Below are 23,428 nucleotides of genomic sequence, written 5' to 3' on the forward strand. Positions count from 1 at the left end.
CTCACCAACTGTACCAACCTCACCTTTTGCTGCTTCTTATAACACAACTATACATCCTTTGTGAAATGTCTTTCCCCTTTCTCTAGCAGGCAAAAAAAGAAAAACAAATTCTTTCAAGATGCAATTTAAATGGCCACAGTTCTGCAAGCCATCCTCCGCACCCTTGGCACTTGATTTGTTTTTTTCTCCCGAAGGATTTTTGTCTAACTCCAGAGTCAATTACCCACCAAATACATAGGGCTCACATGGGTTTCTCCCACCAAAGGGAGCAATGATAAGTTATTTATCTCTATAATGCCAATGAATAAAGTGAAGTACTTAATGAATGAACCCAATGGTCAAGACAAATAGGCTGATCTGAGTGACAATACTTTTTAAATTAATGTACAAAGTTTATCCTTAAAACATTTGGGACAATACCTGCAATGCAGCCTCCTCAAGAATTTCAAGGTCTTCTTCTAATTCATTACCTGTTGTGTAAATAAAGAGTTTTACTAAAATATGTCAATATTTAGTTTAGTTTAATTTTCTAGTCCTTTGCATTCATTACACTTTTTTTAAAAAAATAATTCTGCTATTCCAGATTGAAAAGATTTGTGATTCTGGAAAAAATCCTAGTGGCATACAGTTTAATATATAAGATACTTCCAGTGGGAATATACTACAATTCTCAAGGCAATACTCAAGAAGCATCCATGGGTGATTTGCCAAAGATATATCCTACATTTATGAATATAAATGTATACTTTCTGAACTTAGTGTATTCGTTTTGTCTAAAAAAAGAGGGAACAAATTATTTCAGATCTGGGCCTTTATATTTTGGTTGCCTTACAGAAGAGCTATGACTTTAGTAAACAACAGGGACTCACAGAAAAATATAAGGCAGTGACTGCATCCCCTAGCCATTTTCTCCTTTATTAGTTAATATAGAACATATTTTATTTATTGATCTTTCTTTGATAGTTTAATTATTAAATGTTACTAATAAAGTAATACTTGTTCAATGGGAAATACTCAAATTGTATAGGAGTGTAGAACAAAAAATTCTAAACCTCTAACCAGTGCCGTGCTCCCTTAAAACTATCCAGTGTCAACAGCCTATGTGTTGTTCTAGAAACTTGGTGTGCAAACAAACCAAAAAGGTATATGTGTTTCAACCACACATAAACATACTCTTTTTTTTTCTTTTGAGATGGAGTCTCACTCTGTTGCCCAGGCTGGAGTGCAGTGGTGCGATCTCGGCTCACTGCAACCTCCACCTCATGGGTTTAAGTGATTCTCCTGCCCCAGCCTCCCGAGTAGCTGGGACTACAGGCATGTGCCACCATGCCCGGCTAATTTTTGTATTTTTAGTAGAGACGGGGTTTCACTGTGTTAGCCAGGATGGTCTCAATTTCCTGACCTTGTGATCCACCCACCTTGGCCTCACAAAGTGCTGGGATTACAGGCATGATCATACTTTTTTGTAATATACAGAGTAATGTATGCAAAAATGGGACCTTCTTCTGCAACTTGCTTTTCTCAATATAATTTGGACAGCTTTCCTTGTTAGGCTGTATAGGTCTACTTTTTCAAAGAGCTGCATATACTACCATTGAATGGCTATGCCATTACTTATTTAACCAGTTCCCAACTGAAAGACATTTTGGTTGTTTCTAGGTTTTACAATCACAAGCACTGCTATATTAATCCACCCTTCAACATACACTTTTTGAGTATTTGTGCAAGTATGTATAAAAATTTTCTATGTCAAAAAGTATATATAATGTAAAATTTAACAGCTATTGACAAAAATAGGTTGCTAGCAATTTTCCTCATGTGGCTAGAATACAAGGTCTCATTTCCATACATATATACCAATATTAAGTGGGAGAAAAGGGATGGAGAAGAATAAAAGGGACCAGGAAGAGAAAAGGGAATAAAGAAGGAAAGGCAGAGGAAGAAAAGGGAGGAAAAAAATAACAGTGGGAAGAGTAATCTTCAATGAAGGAGTAAAGATGGATTTTGGGGGGGTAAGAAAATAAAACTTTAAACCATGTATAAATATTAGAGAATCAGTAAGCATTTTTACTTTCAACTTTACTCCCTTGATTATAGATTAATCTATATATCATACAAATTTGCTCCATATAAAAAAGTACCATTTCTGCCACTGCCTCATCTCTGTTCTGCTTCAATGAAAAATTCTTCTAAAGAGCTACCTATATTCAAATGGACCGCCCTTCCTTACTTTCCATTCTCCCTCTCTACTCTGAAAGTACTTACAGTTCTCTCATTTTGCTAACATATTTCTTATTGCATATACAAGCAACCAACAAGTCTTCAAGTCCAATGATAGATTTTAATTCACTTCTCAGAGCATGCAAAAATCCCAGGAGCATCCCCTCTCCTGGTTTCTCTCCTCTTCACTGACTGTTCCTTCACAGTCTCATCTGCAGCCTCCTCTTCCTGTTCTGTGCATCTTTGAAATTTTGATAAGTCACAGCTTTAATCCTAAGCTATCTTCTCTTTCTTATCTACTTGCTGTAGAATATCTTTCATACAGTCCCATGTCTTTAAATAACGATCATATTCAATTACATTTCTATCGACCTGTTCTCTGATCTAGACAATGAGTATTCAGTTGTCTACTTGATATTTCCACTAGAATATTTAAGAAATATCTAGAACTTTTGGTTTAATACTATATATTCAGTGCTTGGCTGAATATACACACTATACCCACTGCCTGGCTCAAAGCATGTATATGCATAAAAAGGGTGTCCATGTGCGTGTGTAAATTAAAAAAGGTCAGAGGATACCCTTCAGTCTCTAAACAAACTCAAATTACCAGTACATGAAGCAGTTATTGCTCATGAATATATGAGATTACAAAATTCATTTTGCAAATCTATTTTTGGCCCTTTTATAATACATACAAAACAAAACAAAACCCTATCAAAAAACATCCAGTATTGGCCACACTTACCAATAGGAAGTGCTAGGTCCTTCTTCATCAGAGCTGCTGCACAAACCCCACCAAGATTGGCTAATTCTTTTTCCAATTGGATGACTCCCTATGGAATTGCATAAAATTTGCTGCTTTAAAAATGTTTGAATGATAATACGGATTATCAACAAAATGTGATTTGAATTCAAGCATTACTTTTGAAATGAGAAGGAAGCACGTGAAGCTAATGGTTAAATTGAGAGTAGATGAGATTCAGTACTCAATGTTGTGGCTCAGGCTGGTTATAAGGTTCAGGTTTAAAGGTTCATTGTTCAAATAACTGTTCATTCATGACTTTGGCCCACTTTGTCCTTGGTTTTATCTTATTGTATGATTTAAAACATTTAGACAAGATGATAGCCCCTTTTTGAAAACAGGTTCTACTGTTTACTCAGAAAGGTATAGCCAACTGAGCAGGTTCAGGGCAGGTATAACTATACTTCAAAGGCTGGGTCATGTTGCACAAACTCCATCCTCTTCATGTATTAAAAGTAGCAAAACAGACCACTGCACATAAACTACAAAAATTTAGAATTGCACACCCCTAGGTTAAAATTAATTTCTTTTTATTTTTTTTGTAGAGAAAGGATTTCGATATATTGCCTAGGCTGGTCTCAAACTGTCTCAAGGGATTCTCTCACCTCTCAAAGTGCTGCAATTACAGGTGTGAGCCACTGCACCAGGCCCCAATTTTTCGAATAGAGGCAACAGTACAATTTAAGTCAGTTAGAAGCACAACTCACTAGCCCTTAGAAACACAATCTTCCTTAAAAGAATGAAAAGATAATTCATTCTTACCTCATCAGGTCCAGGGCTAAATTCATATCCAATTGCAAAACACTTAAAACCATAGAAAGAAGCTTTGTCATCTTTCACATAATCTGATGCAGTCTCCAATGAAAAAAGGGCCTCATTTCCTAATAAAAATGCCAGAATTGAGTTCAAACTCTAAAACAATTTTATAAAAATTTCCCTGTCTTTTATCCAATGGACTTTCTCTTTTATCACAAGATAGGTAAAAACACAAATCATATACTACATAACTTAAATAGACTTGCGGCGGGGAGCGTTCCTATATCTACTTGAGGAAACTGTACCAAAAATAACACTAGAAACAACAGGTCTATCGCAAATGAATTGTTACTTTTTTTCATAATCAAACTCCCCTGCTTAATAAAGTACTTCAGTTACATGGGCAATCATTTTTCAATTATTTGTCAAATACTGAGGTTAGCCTTTTTATTTTTCAAAGTGGGCAATCCTCTACCCTGGAGTGTGGCTTTTTCTGATCTTTTCCCAAACAAACAAACAAATAGGCAGGTCAGAGTGGAAAGAAGAAGTTTCTGAAATGAAATTGCCTATTAGTTTGAAGGATCACAAGAGTAGTCCTGGTTAACTGGTTAAGAATGCAACAAACCATAAGTTTTAAAACATAGTTTCTCTTCACACAAGAAAGTGGTTTACGAATTCTCTTACAATGAAGGACTTCAGTCCTTAGGTAAGTTCTGAAAATTTAGCACTTCCTGGGAAAATAAAAGATCTAATCCATTGTTTTCTATAATTTGGACCCAACTACACAGACAGCTAGCTACTCCTCAACGTTAACACTCTGCTTTGCTCAAGCTAATCTTTTTTTCACAAAATCCTTAAAACATTGTCTTCTCCAAAACTCAGATCAGGCTGTGCCCCTTGCCCAGGGTACCTTATTTATTCCTCGAATGCAATCCAGATACATAGTAGGTCTTTAATAAATTTCTCTAAAAATTAGATAAACATTTTCAATGATACACCCTTACTAAATATACATAAATGCACTTATTTTACCACATAAAACAGAAGAAAAAAAAAACTTACCTGGCAACACCAAAACCATAGTAGGCCACCCAGAGGATCCTGAAAATTTCTTTAATTCTATCCATGAATTAAGATTTTCATGAACAGATGTCAATTTTGGTCCATATCCTGAATTCTGAACAGTTCTGACAGGAATCAACAAACGAAGGACATCTTCTGACTGTGCAGTACCACACTGAGGGTCAAATTCGATTGTCATCCACCTCACACATTCTGGGAATGTCACCTGAGGTCAACAGGCAAAGTGACATGAATACAGATATATATATACACAAACATACACATCTGCATCTGTATGTGTGTGTGTGTCTATGCTTTTATTAAATGACACAACAGGATAAAGTACAAAATTAAAATAGAATAAAATGTTACCTATGACAGAGAAGGAGGAACAGAGTAAAGAGGACAGAGATAAAAGCTAGATTTGTTTCATAAATTTGACTTCAAAGTATGTAATTATGTAAAGAATTATAAAACAAAATCCAAATTTAAAAAGCAATTCCTAAAATCTAAGATAAAATAAATGACTCTCTAAGTGTATATCCAATGAATGCATAATCATGCAGAGGGAGCATTCCAACTTACTTTAAACACAGTAATTTGACATACACTTAGATGGGATATACTTCAAAGACAAAACACACACATACACACACACACACACACACACACACACACACACACACACACACACACACCAAATGAAATAATTTAATGATTTTCTAATTCTGATATTCCCAGTGTCACTAATAGGAATTTTAGATATAAGAGAAAGGAGACTGAGGTGTGTCTGTGGTCCTTGTTTGAATTAGTATCAACAGTATAAACTCATGAGGTATTTTATCTTTAAAAAACTATACACATAAATCTATCTGTACATAAACATATATACATTTATGTATATACATATATAAATATAACATGTGTGTGTATGTATAACAGAAATCAGGACACTTTGAAAAAATGGTTAGTTCCAAGTCTGAGGCATCAAACATATAAAGGGAGCCTGGAACATCTTATCCTACCAGAAAGCAAGGAAGCTAGGAATGACTGCAAGAGGGGTGTCTGAAAGAACCAGCAGGTAAGCTGAAGAGGCTCCCATCTAACAAATACATAGGATCCAGTTTCTTCAACAAATAGAACTCAAGGGAACAAAAAGAGAGAGAGACAGAGGGAGACTTATAGATTTAAAGGGACTTAAGATTAAAGGGGACTTAAGAGACATACTAATCACAATATATGGATTTTATATGGATTCTAACTCAAATTATTAAAAATTTACATGATGTTTGCAGACATTAAATTGTTTTCTTCAATGTGATAATACTATGGTTATATTTAAGGGTCTTTATATTTTGGAGACATTGTATCAATAAATATCATAAATGTGCTTTAAAACAATATAGGAGGTTAGGAAGTAGGTTGGGAATAAATAAGACAGGTCTGACTAACAGTTGAAACTGCTGAATCTGGGATGATGGATAAACAAGTGCACTGTACTAGCTTGTTTACTTCTATATGCTTAATAGTTTCTACCATGAAAAGTGGAATATTTTACAAGCACACAAAATACAAGTTTATCCTTCTCTTCCTTAATTTGCATGATACAATGAAAAAACAAAGAATACGGATTTTGAATACTCTCTAATAACATTAAATTTATAAACATTTTATACATAGTTTTTTTAACATTATGTATAGACTACTTTAAATCTTACATTGGGGTTGTAAATTTTCAGAGCTCAGGCTGTGGTACAAATAATGTTAGTTCAAAAAATACAATTTAAAATTGTTAATGCTTATATCTACTACTATTGCAAATCACAGCATGAAGTTTAGCATTATATACCACACTATACTTGTAGGAAGATTTAAGAACAACTCTCATAAACCAATAAAATTTTATCATCTTTGAGATAAAAATTCCATCTTAAATTATTTTATATATCCAACAGTGCCTAATCACCTGCTGATTCTCTATATGTAAATACTATAAAAGAAAATACACTTGTAAATACAGGCCAGGCATTCTTTAAGATATCATCAGAGAACCTCATGCCAAGTTTTACATTCGAATCACACTAAGAACCGGTGCCTACCTTGTAATGCATCACACAGGCAGGTTTATACGGGTGCTCACTCTCTATGACAGCATAGTGACTGGAGGTTGTACAAGCAGAGAGGCCCTGTTCAGGCTGGTTTCCTGTGGTGCTATCTGTCGACTGATTAGGGTTGAAGGCAGGCGGTGCATACTTCTGATTCAAAATGGCAACTGACGGAAGCAATTGTTGGACAAGGCCAAAGACTTCTACAGCCACCTAGTACACATATAAAAATATGGTTAAATGAGATACACGTGAAAGTGGTTCTAAAATTATGCATTACAATAATTGTTGGTTACTCTAATAACAATTTCCATCTAAATTTTCCACTAGTTAAGTTTTTGTCCAAAGAGAAATCTTTCAATTGATTAAAAAAAGATTTATCTTAGATGTTACATGACAATATCTAAATCTATATTTTTAAAAACTTGTTTTTTCATGATCTGAAGTAAATCAGGTTTTACTTAATTATGCCAAAGAATCAATAGTTTATCATTTCTTCCATCTCTTGAATATGTCACTATTTTAAAACACTCTTATCCTTTAACATTGCTATTGTTATTAATGAAGACCATTTGGCATCAACCTCATAAATGTGAAAAACCTCAGTTAACATAATCTTTCCTTACATATCATATTCCTAAAATTGCTAAAATCTATTTCCCATTCACAGATTCTTCAAATGTAAAGCCAACAGGCCGGGCGCGGTGGCTCACGCCTGTAATCCCAGCACTTTGGGAGGGCGAGGCGGGCGGATCACGAGGTCAGGAGATCGAGACCACGGTGAAACCCCGTCTCTACTAAAAATACAAAAAATTAGCCGGGCGCAGTGGCGGGCGCCTGTAGTCCCAGCAACTCGGGAGGCTGAGGCAGGAGAATGGCGTGAACCCGGAAGGCGGAGCTTGCAGTGAGCGGAGATCGCGCCACAGCACTCCCGCCTGGGTGACAGAACAAGACTCCGTCTCAAAAAAAAAAAAAAAAAAAAAGCCAACAAATAAGCACAGCAATCCAGTAAACAATACTAAGAAGAGAGAAGTTTAATAATTAGCAGATCTATCTCTGCTTGTTACCTATATCCCAGATGCCTCAAAGATGCAAGTTTTTGTAAAGACAAGACACAAAGTCTTTTTTTAAAAAAGATATTTAAAAAAAACATTCAAAGTTATAGAATTAAATTACACACCTTGGGAATAGCAGCAGCTACTGGTCCTATGTAGGCTATAATAAGGGGGAGCAGCATGGAAAACAGACTGGAAGAACTCAGCAGTTCTGGAATGTCATCAGCTAAAAAAAGGCATAAAAGGCATTAAAACTATAGTCAGAAGGTAATTTCATTGTACTGCATACATGCTGTACTAAATCTATATTCTGCTCTTTTGAGCGAAACTATAGTTGACACCAATTGGGTGCTTGTCAAGGGCCTGGTACTATTCTAAAGGCTTTTGAGAATACATGCCTTATCTCAACTAATACTCACAATAAGATACTTTTATTATCCCCAATTTTCAGAAAGGAAAACCATGGCACATAGGGTTTAAGTATCTTACCCAAAATACTTAATACATAAGTACATGTACCTGTAAAATAATAGAGCTGGAATCAGAACCTAGGGTAATGGAGTCTTTATTTTAAATTACCATTCTGGCACCAAACATGGCTGTATCAGTGACATTAGGCAAATTACTTACTCTGTAACTTAGGTTCACAACAGTATTCCTCTCATTTGGATGTTGGGAAGATTAAACGAGGTAATATATGTAAAACACTTAGAACAACACCTACACATATTCAGCACTCCAAAAATGTTTACTGTTATTAAGCTACATTGCTTTCTGTTTTTCCAAGAAAAGCACTTTGCTGATTAACATTTTAGTCAGTTATCCATGAACATGGTGCTGGAAAGATAAGCTGAGCCTATACTGTGAAGACCTTTATTTTATAAGCCAATTATTCTCCCAAATACTGATTCCTAGGTCTGCTGTTATATCAAAACAGGCTGCACACTTATTTAAAAAATAGTTTTTTAGCCTAGCTTCAGGACCTGGGGATAAATCTAATAGTCTTTATTTTCAGCAAGCTTTCCAGGTGGTTCTGATGTTAAACTAGGTTTAGGAATTAATGTTATACAATAAGGAGGTGGAGGTAACTTTTTTTTTTTTTTTTTGAGATGGAGTGTCACTCTGACATCCAGGCTGGAGTGCAGTGGTGCGATCTCGGCTCACTGCAGCCTCCGCCTCCTGGGTTCAAGCGATTCTCCTGCCTCAGCCTTCTGAGTAGCTAGGATTACAGGCACCTGCCACCACGCCTGGCTAATTTTTTTATTTTTAGTAGAGATGGGCTTTCACCATGTTGCTCAGGCTCGTCTCAAACTCCTGACCTCATGATCTGCCTTCCTCGGCCTCCCAAAGTGCTGGGATTACAGGCATGAGCCACCATGTCCGGCCATAACCATGTTTTCATAATGATAACTCTGCTGCCAGTGTGAAGAATAACTAAACAACTAGATGGAGAATGGGGGAAAGGCAGCAGTGAGATTATCGGGATATTAACCCTATATTAAAAAATGAAATGTACTTGCACCATGGCAGTCTAAATGACAGCAGGAGAAGAAGTGAAAGAGAGGAGAATACAAACTAGAGAGATTCCAATGGAAAAACTCATAGAGCTGAATTTAGACAAGTGCCTCTGAGGAGATGGTTAGGGTACCCCAGAGTTTTGGGTGGATAGCGATACATTACTGGAAAAAGAACAGAGAGGAAGAAAAAGCTTTTTGATTACTAAAAGAAGAATAAAGACCCAGTTTAACTCAAATACAATTTTTCTTTTACTAAATTAACTAAGAAAATAAGAATATATGGTAACTCCTTTTGAGCATTCTAAATAATTCTGCATTACAGTATGGAGAGTGTGACCTATCCAAAATTAATCCATGGGTGGATCTATAAATAACACTTAGATTCTATAAAATTGTATAATAGAAGGCTCCTCTTCAATAATTCTATGCAAAAATTTAGTGAATAAAGAATCTAAAATATGACTACTGAGAAAGAAAAAATATTACCATCCACAGCAAGAGCTCTGTGCAGGAGGTCCTTAGAGGCTCGAACGACAGTGCTTACAACAGACAATGCTCTGCTACAGTTTTTATCTTCTTCATTGGCTTTACTCAGAAGTTGGGATTGTAAATCTCCATCAAATTCACTCCTGTAGCATGAGCAAACATGAGATTATTTTACAATGGTAAGTAAAACATGATCCAGTGCCAGAAATCATATCTAGATCTGAGATCCTCATTTAATTTATAGCTTTTTAAAAGTTAAAAAAGTAAACATGCAACTATACAATAATAGGGAATGATAAGGGCTTTGAAGAAAAACAAAGCAGCATAGGGCATAAAGTGAAGGGTGTTATTTTAAATAAGATCAGTTCTCCGAGGAACTCATATTTAACAAAGACCTGAATTAATTAATTAAATTATTTACTTATTTGAGACAGAGTCTTGCTCTGTCGCCCAGGCTGGAGTGCAGTGGCATGATCTCGGCTCACTGCAACCTCCGCCTCCCAGGTTCAAGCGATTCTCCTCCCTCGGCCTCCCAAATAGCTGGGATTATAGGCATGCACCACCACGCCCAGCTAATTTTTCTGTTTTTAGTAGAGATGGGGTTTCACCACGTTGGCCAGGCTGGTCTCAAACTCCTGACCTCGTGATCCACCCATCTTGGACTCCCAAAGTGCTGGGATTATAGGAGTGAGCCGCGCACCCAGCTGACCTGAATTTTTTTTTTTTTTTAAAGACCCACGCGAAGAGCTGAGGGAAAACTGTCAGGGCAAAAGGAACATACTGGTGAATTAAAGGAACAGAATGAAGACATGTATGGCTGGAAGAAAAGGAGAAAGAGTGAAGCGTGATGGGTGGGAAGGGAAACAAGAGTCAAATTGTGTAAGGTTTGTAGGCCACATAATGACTTTACATTTTATACTGGTATGAGAATGGGAAGCTGGGTTTGGAGCAAGGGTGGAACTTGGTATGATTTATATTTTTATCAGATCACTCTGGCTGTGCTGTAGAGAACTGATTGTAGGAGACCAATAGTGAAAGGAGGGAGACTAGTTTAGAGGCTTATTACAGTTAGCAGGTAGAGGTTGCAGTGGCTTGGTCTAGACTATTAAATATGGAAGTAGAAGAAAAGGTCACATTTAGGACATTTTAGAAGTACAGCTGACAGGACTTCTTGATGAACTAGGTGTAAAGTATGAGGGAAAGAGAAGTCCAGAATGACTCCAAGGTGTCTGGCTGTAACTGTGGAAGGGAGATGAATATTCTAGCCACATGAAACCTCAGATGTCTACTAGCCAACTATAACGAACATCCTTAAAGAGAAAGTGCAGCATTCTGGTTAAGGGTGTATCACCTGAAATCTGACTTCCTGCCTACAAGTCGCAGTAGCGTAACTTAACAGAGGTGTGACTCTAGACAATTCAGCGTCTCAGTTCCATCATCTGTGAAACAGGGATAAGGAAAGTACCTACCTCCTGGGGTTACTGTGAGGACAAGGTGAAATAACACAGGTAACATACTCAAAGCATGTCCTGGCACACAGTAACTAACACCATCTCCACTAGTGTCATCCAAATGAAGATGTCAGAAGAGAGACCCGGAGTCCAGGGCTCAGAGGTCATGAAGGCTAGGGATGTAAACTTGGGAGCTATCAGAGCAGGATGGTATTTAAAACTAAAGGACTTTAACATTTTTCATTTATAAAAAATGTAAAGCTAAGGGTATTTAAAGCTTAATAGAAAACATGAAAATACTCAAAACACTGTATTTTGTATAAGATATAAAGTTTGGATGGCAGATGCTCTTAGTGGCTCTCCAGCTTTCTGAAACACGTAACTCTTACGCATAACAGAGTTTTTAATCCATAGTTTAAGAAAGAGAATAATGTACTATTTATTGTAGTGCTTATGTAACAGAAAGCTTTTCTTGACTGGGGCAAAAGACTAGACAGCTTTTGTATTTCAGCAGCAACAATGAACTACATAGCTATTTGCTGCCTGCTATTTCTATTCTATTTCTGATGGAAAGAGGAAGCAGAAAATCTATATCTAGGGAAATTATTTTATACTATCTACGTAGGCACCATCCCTAGACTCTTCATGAAGGAAAGAGAGGAAGCAGCAAGCCTCTGAAAGTGACATGGAAATTCAGTGATTTAATGCCAAGTCAGGCTGAGGACAAATGTGGTAAATGGTACTCATGACTACCTAAGACGCCAGCTTTGCCGCTACAAGAAAAATTCAGACTCAGTGAGAAATGTTTATTTAAAAGATTTTTTTAACCCAAGGGTTGTTATCATTCTTTTATTTTCCAAGGTTTACATAAGGAATGGTTTTTGTTAAAAACATTATAAGAAACACACTATTATATATTCTAGGGCCCCAGGGGGCAGGTCCAAGATTCACAGACATCAAAATATTCTGTGACTAGATAACAAGATCAAGGCAACACCACTATCTGAGTACAGTCTATCTGATCATTAGTTTGAGGTATTTTATAAAAAGAAATGAATATCCTTTAAATTTGAAATTGCAGACCAGAAATTATAGAGTGACAGCAACAGCACATATGCCCAGTACACAAACATTTCAATGATATTGAAGAAATAACAGCAAAAATATTTTAAAGCATTAACTTTTGTAGCAAACATTGAATTTATATATTAAAAAGAGATTTCTTTATATGAATTTGTACAAGTATGTGCTAAGAAGATACACTGTACAATTTAATTATAAGTATCCAGTTAGCAATTTTACCTGGTAGTAGACTGTGTATGTTCTACCACTGTAAAGTATTTCCGTTATCTCTATACATTCACCCACCTATAGTAGAGTATCTGTGGGATCTGTCCTCTGGTTTGGTTTGTGCCGTTACTGCTCAAGCTGCACGTGCTGAATGTGAATGTCACACCATCAGGGCACTGAACTGTGGTCATTCCTCCATCTCCATTGGCTGTACGGCTTCCATAGTTCCTCAAGCGCACAGCATATTTAACATTTTCCTTCATTATAAAGATGTAAAACATCTTTTATTCACAATGTACAGAGGATATATAAAAAGAACTCTAGCAGTAAAATAGGCAAATATACTGAAATTCTTTGTCATATTTACAGATGATATAATTAAATAAGTTTTTAATGAATCAAACACGATGACGGCTAACATTTACTGAACACCTGTTGCATAAAAGCAACTGTCCTAACTACTTTATGGAATTTAATTAATCCTTAAAATGACCTCATAAGGTAAGTATCATTACTATCCCTATTTTACAGATGAGGAATCTGAGGTTCAGAGAAGTTAAGTAACTTGTTCAAAGTCACGCAGCTAGTAAGTGATGGAACTAGGTCTGAACACAACCAATGTAACTAGTGCCTGCTCTTAATTTTACTGCTAGAATATTAGCCATACTATATATATATAATATATATTATATATATATAATATATATATATTTTATATATTATATATATATATTTTTTTCTGAGACAGGATCTTGCTCTGTCACCCAGCCTGGAGTGCAGTGGTGCAATTTTGGTTCAATGTGGCCTCCTCTTCCTGGGCTCAAGCAATCCTCCCACCGGTGTGTTCCATCACACTCAGTTAATTTTTTAGGGTGTTTCTGTAGAGATAAGGTCTGACTATATTGCCCAGCCTAGCCTCAAACTCCCAAGCTCAAGTGATCCTCCCTCCCTGGTGTCTCAAAAGTACTGGAATTACAGGTGTGCGCTACTGTGCCCGGCAATAAGGGATTTTAATTGCATAAGCTGATACTTTTCCTTGACTAGTTTAACTTTTAAAATAATTTTAGATGTGAGGAAAAAAATGGTGAGTCTATTATATTTTTAAGAAAAACTCAGAGATAGAAATATATAGGCAAACAGACATGAGAAAAAAAACCCATAGGAAAAAAGCTGTCCAAAATATAATGCACTGTACTTTTAAAATGTGAGCTATAGAAACTAATGCTTTATGACCCATGATATAAATTTCACAATAAAAGCTTTTTGGTTTTTCAGTATCTAAATTCTTCCTGATGAAACCTCTCGTGTACCGATCTTATCCAAAATTCTGCTCTATAATGAAATTTATTTCAGTTGAATTCAGAAATACTTTAATTTTATTTTAACATCTATAATTACTTTGATGTGGTAAAATTTCTCTATTTTGCCAAATATTGTTAGGAAATAGGCTGGGCGCGGTGGCTCACGCTTGTAATCCCAGAACTTTGGGAGGCCAAGCGGAGTGGATCACTTGAGGGCAGGAGTTCGAGACCAGCCTGGTCAACACAGTGAAACCCCTCTACTAAAAATACAAAATTAGCTGGGCATAGTGGCACGTGGCTGTAATTCCAGCTACTCGGGAGGCTGACACAGGAGAATCATTTAAACCCGGGAGGCAGAGGTTGCAGTGAGCCAAGATCACACCACTGCACTCCAGCCTGGGCGACAGAGTGAGACTCCATCTAAAAAAAAATAATAATAATAATTAAAAAAAAATAAAGAAACAAAACAAAACAAAACAAAAACACTTTTTTTTTTTTTTAAATGAGTTAGGGCACAATAAGAGAAGAAAAGACAGGAGCTAATATTTATTTTTCATATTGTGCTAGACACTAAGGCAGGTGTTTTATTTCCATTATTTAATCTCAATACTACTACAATGCAGGTATTATTCTTCCCAATCTACAGATAAGTCTCAAAGTGGTTAAATAATGATCTGCCAGTGTCTTAAAGTCAGCATGTGGAACAGCAGGTATCCAAAGCTAAGTCTGTTTGACTACAAAACTTCCTACTACTCCTGACTTTAAGAAACATTATGCAAAAATATAATATAATGTGGTACAACATTAGGTACGTAGTAGGTACTCCATAAATATTTAAGTACCATATAAAGGATAACTTACAAATAGCTATAGGTAACAAACAAAATTCATGGAATACTCTTCACTATTTTAACTACATAATAATACCTCTTATTCACAATAGAAACATTCAGTTGAAACTACCTTTAAAGGAACCACTTTGTCAAGTCTGATCTCAGCTATATCACTGGGTGAGTCATCCGTTGTGTACGTTCCTTTCACTAATTCCAGAGATGTCCATCTGTGGGAATGAGTTGAATCTCCTGCATGTTCACTCTAAAAAAAAAAAATGAAACACAAAAATTCCAACAGACTCTTAATTTTATTGTATGAACAATTTTGATTTATAATTATTATTTTTAAAATTTATTTTCTTGAATATAAAATTAGCCATTAGTATTTTCCCATACATATGAAAGAAAAAGTTGGGGGTACTATATACATTTTTATGTGATTTCTTGAGAAGACTACAACATAAATAAGCTTTTCTCATCTGATGACTTAAACTATTTCTACTTCTTCACATTTATAAAGCCTAATGAAGTAGGGAATAAATTCAAATTAACTAGTGAAAGGAATCAAGTTAGAGATAGAGATAGACTTGCTATTTAATAGGCAATGATTTACATGCTACCCCATCTGTCCCATTTTAATAAAACTCAGGTACTTTAATTTTAGAGAATATAGAAAGATATAGCTCAATCAGTCAACAAATAGTGTCTTCACTAAGAATCACCCATTAGTACTCTATGACATAGTCCATCTCAACATTGTGTTTCTTGAAAAATGACAATATAAAAAAAAAAAAAAACTACTCAAGACTTGTCATCAGGGACTTAGCTAAACACTTTTAGTCTTTAATTCTACTTTAAATCTTTCTCTTTCTGAAAGTACAAAAAATATGAAGCAGTAGTGACCCAAGGTGGAAAGATGGAACACAAACAATCAGGTAAAATCATTATTTTTCAATTTCTTTTCTTTCTTTTTTTTTTTTTTTTTTTTGAGACAGGGTCGGGTCTCACTCTGCTGCCCAGGCTTGAGTGCAGTGGCATGATTATGGCTCACTGCAGCCTCAACCTCCCGGGCTCAAGTGATCCTCCCACCCCAGCCTCCAGAGTAGCTGGGATTACAGGCGTGCGTTGTATTTTTCGTAGAGATAGGGTTTTGCCATATTGCCTAGGCTGGCCTTGAACTCCTGTGCTCAAGTCATCCAACTGCCTCAGCCTCTCAAAGAGCTGAGATTACAGGTGTGAGCCACTGTGGCCAGTCTTTTTCAATTTCTTTAGTGTCATTCATCAGTGATTGATCTAGTAAACCCCTGAACATACTATGACAATGGTAAATCCTGATACACAACCCACTAATCAGGATAAATACTAAAAGGGTGATACTTACATCATCAACCAACACCTCTAATTCATATTCATGAATTCCACCTCCTCCATAGACAGAGAAACCAACCACAACTATTCCAGGTTTGTCTACTGAAAAACAGATTGCATCAGGGGACCCGTTCCCAGTGTTCCAACTTCTGCCCTGACTTGTTTTTGTAAATCGGTTAGCACTAGCTTTTACAGAGTGAAGAGAATTAAGTCCATCAACCTGTGAACAATAAAAGCAATTGTATCAGTAGTTGGTATACCTTTAACAAAACCATCCAAAGGTTTCTAAGAAGTCTAATAAAATAACCTTTATTTAATAAGTGGATATAAACATTCCTAAAGGTATGTTCTACTGAGAGATTAACTCACAATAAAACCAGATTTTATCATTCTAAATTCACAAATCAATGTCACTTGACAGTATTTTCTTCCTTTAGCCATATGAAACTATACTTTCCACTTAATTTATAATGTCAGAAGTACAAGCTTGTCTTATCAGTCATAATGTATGAATAAATCATCAGACTTTGAAAAGAGATGCTAAAAATTTCATCGAAATTCTATAGATCAACAGTTTTCAAACTATGCAACACAGAGCTCTAGAAATTCTGCAGAGATAGGTGTGCAAGGAAGAGGTAAATTTATGGTTCCCCTCTTCAACCAGACTATGTCCTCTCTCCTCTTACCTGTGAATTTGCAAGTAAAACTTCATTTGAAGAAAATGGTCTATACCCTAAGATTGAATACTACGAATATATACAGTGATATTTTTGTAACAGCATTCAGTATTTGAATACGTACACATACACATGTGCAACTATACTAATTATAGACTTTCACTAGAGAGAATTAGAGAACTTACTTTGGGTTGAAATCGCTCTTTTTATTTACAAAGCCTACTTCTAATCTAACTTGGCTACAGAATTTTGGGAGACTAAATAGATACAAAAATGGAAGTTTATGATTCTAACAAAAATTGCAAACTTCTCTGAGAAAGAAATATTCATCTCTAAGCCAGGACCTGTGGGAACTCCCAAAGTTGTATACCAGGCACCCTGTAACTTTTGGTATTCCTTTTCATTGGAAAGGTAAGTTTAAAGGGGAGAACTCTTTAGTAAACTTTGGAAGGGGATCTACACATTATAGACTTTCCTGCATCCTGCAGAGTATACTATCAAAGGAAGGTATTATAGACTAAATGAGTAAATGTAAAAAGTTAAAAAATTTCTGACAAGGGCTTCAATCGTCTCTGAGGCCAAACTCAAAGTTAACCAAGAAACTTAGAAAGTGCTTCCCAGGATGAGAGACTAAAATTAGCTCAAGTGTATGCGATGAACCATATGTATGCGAATTTCTTACGTATGAATTTCATACAATGAAATTCTAAAGGCTAAACTGTCACAATTAATCAATAATGTGTATATATTGGATGGGTTAATTCAGAATAGGTGTTAAAATAAATTTTTTAAAAAAAGCAAAGATTAGGAATTATAAAAGTAAAATAGAGAAAAGAAGTTCCTTGACAAGAACTTGGGAGCTAGGGCCACTGAATATATGCTGATTATTAAACATTCATTTGAATGATGTAAGATATTTCATATTAGGACATGATTTTCCAAACCAATCTACTGTCTGTTTTTTAGGAGGAAAAAACAGAAACATTCCCCAAATTCAGTCAAAACATTCAGTTAAGTTATAAGAAAGAGTAAGGCAGTGAAATGGAATAATGTTACTTTACAAAATGTAAAGGCACTTTCAAAGTGATTTTCTCAAACATAATATTTGAGACTTTGAAAACTTTGTGATAATGTACAACTAAGTACAACAAAGTGAATGCATTTAATGCCACTGAACTGTACACGTAAAAATGATTAGAATGGCAAATTTTATATTATGTATATTTTACTATAATTTCAAAAAACCTGTGATAGAGGTGAAATAAAAATTATTATTCCAATTTTAAGTATGTATTTCTCTAGGGTCGGTTGAGTGGGCAGAGCTGAAGTCTAAACCTCATTACCTTTCCCACACTATGTGTGCACTATGAGTAGGGCCTGACTTCAGCAATGTTACTCATCTTCCAGCAGTGAGAACTATCTTTGCTTTTCACGGGGCATGGTGGTGGGCTTGTGCAATGGGGCAGATGACGACCTGCTCTATGAGGAAAATGTATACTTTATATTCCTGTGGATGCTGGGTAAACTGGTGAGAGAGAAGTAACAAATCAGAGAAAGTAGGAGGTGGAGAGAAAGGCAAAAAAGAAAAACAATGCATTGGGGTTGCTAATCCAATCTGAAATTAGCTTCCACAAAGCCAAAATAGTTGAAAAAAGAAACTGTGTAAAAAACTTACACATGTGCTTTTTATCCAGTGTCAAAATATAATGTATTACCTCAGATCCCAGGGCTGACGCTGTCAGTTCACTGACAATGCTGGCCAGTAATCCACAGGTGTTAGAGACGAGGTGGGAGGAGAAGAGTTCATTTTCTCTCCTCAGGCTGTTCCTGACTGGTAGCACAACAATGACCAGCATTTTCTCCAGAACTTCACGGAAGCTTGTCATCCCTGAGATATTCTCTTCACTCTGCGATACATAAGAAAAAGTTCTAAGGTATTGTTTTATTTTCCTTCATAGGAGTACTCAATTTGAAAACCTTGTCTTTCTGATACTCTTAAAATTCAGACTTGAATCAGGGTCAATTTCTACAAATCTTTCTGGTTATATGTGGAGCCACTTTTCACTTAGAAGTTCTTTTTTGAATTATCTGTCTCTGCGTATCAAAGTACCATACATTTACGAAATGTTTTTATTAGCTTTGAGTCCTATTTTATTCTCTTATTTAACTTTCAATTTACAATTCTATATGACAGACAGAAAACTTCTTTCCATTTAAAAAGCTTTTTTGGCTGGGCGTGGTGTCAGCAATACCAGCACTTTGGGAGGCTGAGATGGGAGGATCACTTGAGGCCAGGAGTTTGAGACCAGCTTGGGCAACATAGTAAGACTTTGTCTCTACAAAATGTTTTTTTAAAAAGTTAGCTGGGTGTGGTGGTATGTGCCTACAGCCCCAGCTACTTGGGAGGCTGAGGTGGGAAGATCGTTTGAGTCCAGGAGGTTGAGGTTGCAGTAAACTGCGATGGCACAACTGCACTGTAGACTGGGTGACAGAATGAGCTAGTCTTAAAAAACAAAAATAAAAAGCTTTTTCTATAGGACAAGGTCTTAATCTGAGATAATAAATTCTAGTATATTTAGCTGTAATGCAACTGTAGTCTGTGTAAATCACTTTTTTAACAAAATTCTTTTTGTACACACATATGATTCCTATGTAGTTTTATAATTTCTACTGTATTTGTTTTCCTAAGTGGAGATAAGAAAATTCCAACCCCTACCGGTAGAAAAATTTCAAGAAGTCACAGAGTCTCAATAAAGGAAAAATACTTTATTTTTCAGAAAAAAGGGAAAAGATGATTAATTTAGCTGATTTCCAGCATGAAAATGATTTATGTGAATGTTTCCTATACCTATTATTTACAGTGCTTATTTTAATATACCAAAGTGTTATTAAGTAGATATTTTAAAAATCCTTTATTTTCTTATTGTTCTATCTTAGAAATCTAAAATATTATATTAGAATGTAAAGTATCTGCAACTTACCTTCAAATGGTTCAGGAAAAACAAATATGTAGGTATTCATTGTATAACTCTCAAATTTTTTTAAAGGTGTGTGATTAAACCGTTAGAGCAAAAAAACTTCATTTTATAGGTAAATATGAACATTTTTCAAAAATATTTAAAATAATCATTTTGTAAATATACTTAAAAATAGAGAAGAATAAGCACCAAGCTAAATACGCTTAGCTTGGTGTGTTTATAGTTTTATTGCCTCTGTATAAAAGAGGCAATAAATAAAACCATTTAGAGTTTTAGTGCCTCTGTATAAAAGATTTCAGAGACAGACCTACCTGGCTGAGTTTTTCCATATGTGCCACCAAAAGGGGAAAACGATGAACTAGTGTTGAGTCGTTCTCTGTACTAACTTGTTTAACAATTGATCGTAGTAATACTTCTCCATCATACGCAATCGGGAAGATGGAAGTCAGCTTAACAGACGTGTGACACAGAGCTGACATAACAGCTGCAAGGAGTCGGCTACTTGATGTCTTGAAGTTTGCTTCTTGGATATCCTTTTAAAAACAAAAATATGGCCCCCCAACCAAAAAATATAGCATCAGTATAATCTAAGTTTCTGAATACATAAAAGGTAAACCATCTTTTAAATTATACCAAAATTTTCTGTCACTCTGTCATTTAAATTGTCTTGTTATAGAATAATACTACATCTATATATTTAAAAAATTGTTTAAGTTTCTATTCAATGAAGATGAAAAATTAAGTCTGGTCAAGAAAAATCAGGCTCCTGTCCTCTAGTAAATGAGCATTTTTATATTTTCATATCCTCACAATCACAGTACTCTCTAGCACTGTTTCAAAGGGAGATGCCAAAAAGGCCCCAATTAGAATGTATCTAAGGTATTTTCAATAAGGACTGAGACTATTTTTCTCAAATAATAAATGATGCAAATTATAAATCTGTGCTATTACAAGCACATTTCACTAAGGTCACAAAATTATATTATCACATTCCATAATTTACCAAGAAAAATTAGTAGCATACTTACAAAATTTCATAAAAAAGCATTAAAGCCAACACATGATATCCTAATTCACAAAATTGTGTACACATTACCTAGTCCTTCAAACATCTGTGTTACAAAGTTAAGCATAAAAGCAGAGTAACATTCCATATGTTAAACCAACATTTGCTAAATCTAGCCTGTTCTGTAGCAAAGAAGAAAAGAACCATATCAGACTGGGAAGGTTCAGAGTGAGAGAGTAATTAAGTTGTGCACTAGTCCAGGCAATAATCTTGCCCCTGGAAATTGAGTGGTAAAACATACTACTCTGCTACATGGATGCAAAGTTGCCTGGGATGCATTAGTGATGACAATGATTTTTTTCACGAAGGAGGGCGGGGAGGCCTAGGACTTCCAGTGCACTGCTGAATATAAGTGGTGAGTGTAGATACCACGTGTCTTGTTTCCAAACTTAGGGGCATATTCAGATTTCACCAGTAAGTGGGATGTTGTTAGTGAAGATTTTTTTGTAAATATCTTTTTATCAGATTTAGGAGTTTCCTTATATCCTACTTTCCTGAGAGGTTTTCATCATTGAGTAACTGCTAGTTTCATCAACCACTGTTCCTGTAGCTATATGGAGGAAATCATCAATTTGCCTTCTTTTTTCAGTTAACATGGTAAATTACATCGATTTTCAATTATTTAACTAAGTATTTCTAAGATAAATCCCACTTGGTTATGATATATTGTTTACATGTTCAATTTGGTTTGATAATATTTTTAAGAGCATCTATGTTTCTGAGTGATATTCATCTGTAATTTTTCCTTGTAGTATCTTAGTTAGGTTTTGGTATAGGATAAAGCTAAACTCATAAAATTAGTTGGGAAGTGTTGCCTCCTGTATTTTCCAAAAGACTTTGTAAAAGGTTGACATTATTTCTTTCTTAAATGTTTAACAGAATTCATAAATGACAATATTTGGACTTGAAATTTTCTTTGTGGGAAAGTTTTTGATAATTTTTAAATGGATATGAGGCAATTCAGATTTTTCTATTTCTTAATGTGTTAGTTTTGATAAAATTATATTTTTCAAGGAATTTGTCAACTTCCTCTAAGGCTGAAAAATTCACCAGTATAAAGTTGTTTATAGTGATAGTCCCTATTTCTTTTTTTTTTTTTTTTTTTTTTTTTTTTTGAGATGGAGTATCATTCTGTCACCAGGCTGGAGTGCAGTGGCACAATCTTGCCTCAATGCAACCTTCACCTCCCGCCTTCAAGCAATTCTCGTGCCTCAGCCTCCCGAGTAGCTGAGATTACAGCTGTGCACCACCATGCCTGGCTAATTTTTGTATTTTTGGTAGAGACTGAGTTTTGCCATGTTAGGCTGGTCTCGAACTCCTGACCTCAAGTGATCCACCCACCTCAGCCTCCCAAAGTGCTGGGATTACAGGCATGAGCCACCGTGCCCGGTGAACCCCTATTTCACTTTTGATTATGGTATTTCATGTTTTTTCTTTCTCTCTTCTCTCCCAGTCAGGTTTGCTAGGAGTTTACCAACTTTTTTTCTTCAAAAAACCAACTTTTAGCTGTGTTAATTTTCTCTACTTTCTATTTCATTGATTTCTGCTCTTATCTTTATTATTTCCTTCCTTCCTTCTAACTTTGGGTTAGATTTGCTTTTCCTTCTAGATTCTTAACATAGCAGCTTAGGTCACTGATTTTAAACCTTTCTTCTTCATATAAGCATTTAAGGGTATAAAGAGCTCTTTTAAGCAATGCTTTAGCTAAATCCCACAAATTCTGATATTATGTTTTTATCTTTCTATGTGAAACATTTTAAAATTTCCTTTATAACTTCTTCTTTGATCAACTGCTTACTTAGAAGTGCTGTCATTTTCCAAATGTTTGGTGCTTTTTCTGGATATCCTTTGCTATTGATTTTTACTGTAATTCTACTGTGGTCTGAAAATATATTCTTTCACATTTTAATCTTTTGAAATTTATTAAGACATTTTATGGTCTAGCATATGATCTACCTTAGTGAATGGTCCCAAATATTTCTTTTAAAAATCATGTGTACTTGAAAAGAATATGTATTTTGCAGTTTCATATCCTGTTTTGTAAATGTCAGATCAAGATGGTTGACAGTACTGTTCAAATCTGCATCGCTGATGTTTTTGGCCTAGTTCCTCTATTAATTACTGAAAGAGGAGTGTTAAAGTCCCCAGCTGTCAATGTGAATCTATTTCTCCCTGTAGTTCTGTCAGTGTTTTGCCTCAGGTGTTGTGAAACTCTGTGACTTGGTGCATAAAGGTTTACAAAGGTTGTGGCTTCCTCATGAATGAATGAACAATGCTAGTATGACTGTTCTCTCAGCTCTCTCTCCTTCCTGTTCTCACAGATGAGGGTGGCGGGGGCCTCCTGGTGCTATCCCTGCTCTCCCCTGGTCACTATGGTTCTTTTCCTCTCTCCCTCTCTCAGAATCACTCACTCCAATTCAAAAACCAATCAGCAACTGCACAATGTGCCTACCAATTT

The 23,428-nt window shown here is 35.6% G+C and overlaps 1 protein-coding gene across 1 annotated transcript in view, besides 1 other annotated feature; it reads right to left on the reverse strand.

The window, feature by feature from the left end:
• Positions 1-23,428, reverse strand: part of MYCBP2 (MYC binding protein 2) — a 282,438-nt gene that overhangs the window by 116,829 nt on the left and 142,181 nt on the right. The window contains exons 33-44 of the mRNA NM_015057.5: positions 20,216-20,437; positions 18,642-18,833; positions 16,263-16,469; positions 15,012-15,143; positions 12,826-13,004; positions 10,007-10,149; positions 8,129-8,229; positions 6,943-7,161; positions 4,844-5,069; positions 3,788-3,906; positions 2,969-3,056; positions 421-470 (exon numbers count right to left, since the gene is read on the reverse strand). Coding sequence (NP_055872.4) covers positions 421-470; positions 2,969-3,056; positions 3,788-3,906; positions 4,844-5,069; positions 6,943-7,161; positions 8,129-8,229; positions 10,007-10,149; positions 12,826-13,004; positions 15,012-15,143; positions 16,263-16,469; positions 18,642-18,833; positions 20,216-20,437 — 1,878 coding nt within the window. The remainder of the gene's footprint in view (positions 1-420; positions 471-2,968; positions 3,057-3,787; positions 3,907-4,843; positions 5,070-6,942; positions 7,162-8,128; positions 8,230-10,006; positions 10,150-12,825; positions 13,005-15,011; positions 15,144-16,262; positions 16,470-18,641; positions 18,834-20,215; positions 20,438-23,428) is intronic.
• Positions 23,301-23,350: an enhancer, noted in NCBI's record as "active region_7839". NCBI's record gives its function as "activates an Ori minimal core promoter by ATAC-STARR-seq in GM12878 lymphoblastoid cells {active_cell/tissue: GM12878}" and the evidence as "EXISTENCE:reporter gene assay evidence [ECO:0000049][PMID:35858748]".

This window comes from Homo sapiens, chromosome 13 (assembly GCF_000001405.40).
Source record: "Homo sapiens chromosome 13, GRCh38.p14 Primary Assembly".
NCBI lineage: Eukaryota > Metazoa > Chordata > Mammalia > Primates > Hominidae > Homo > Homo sapiens.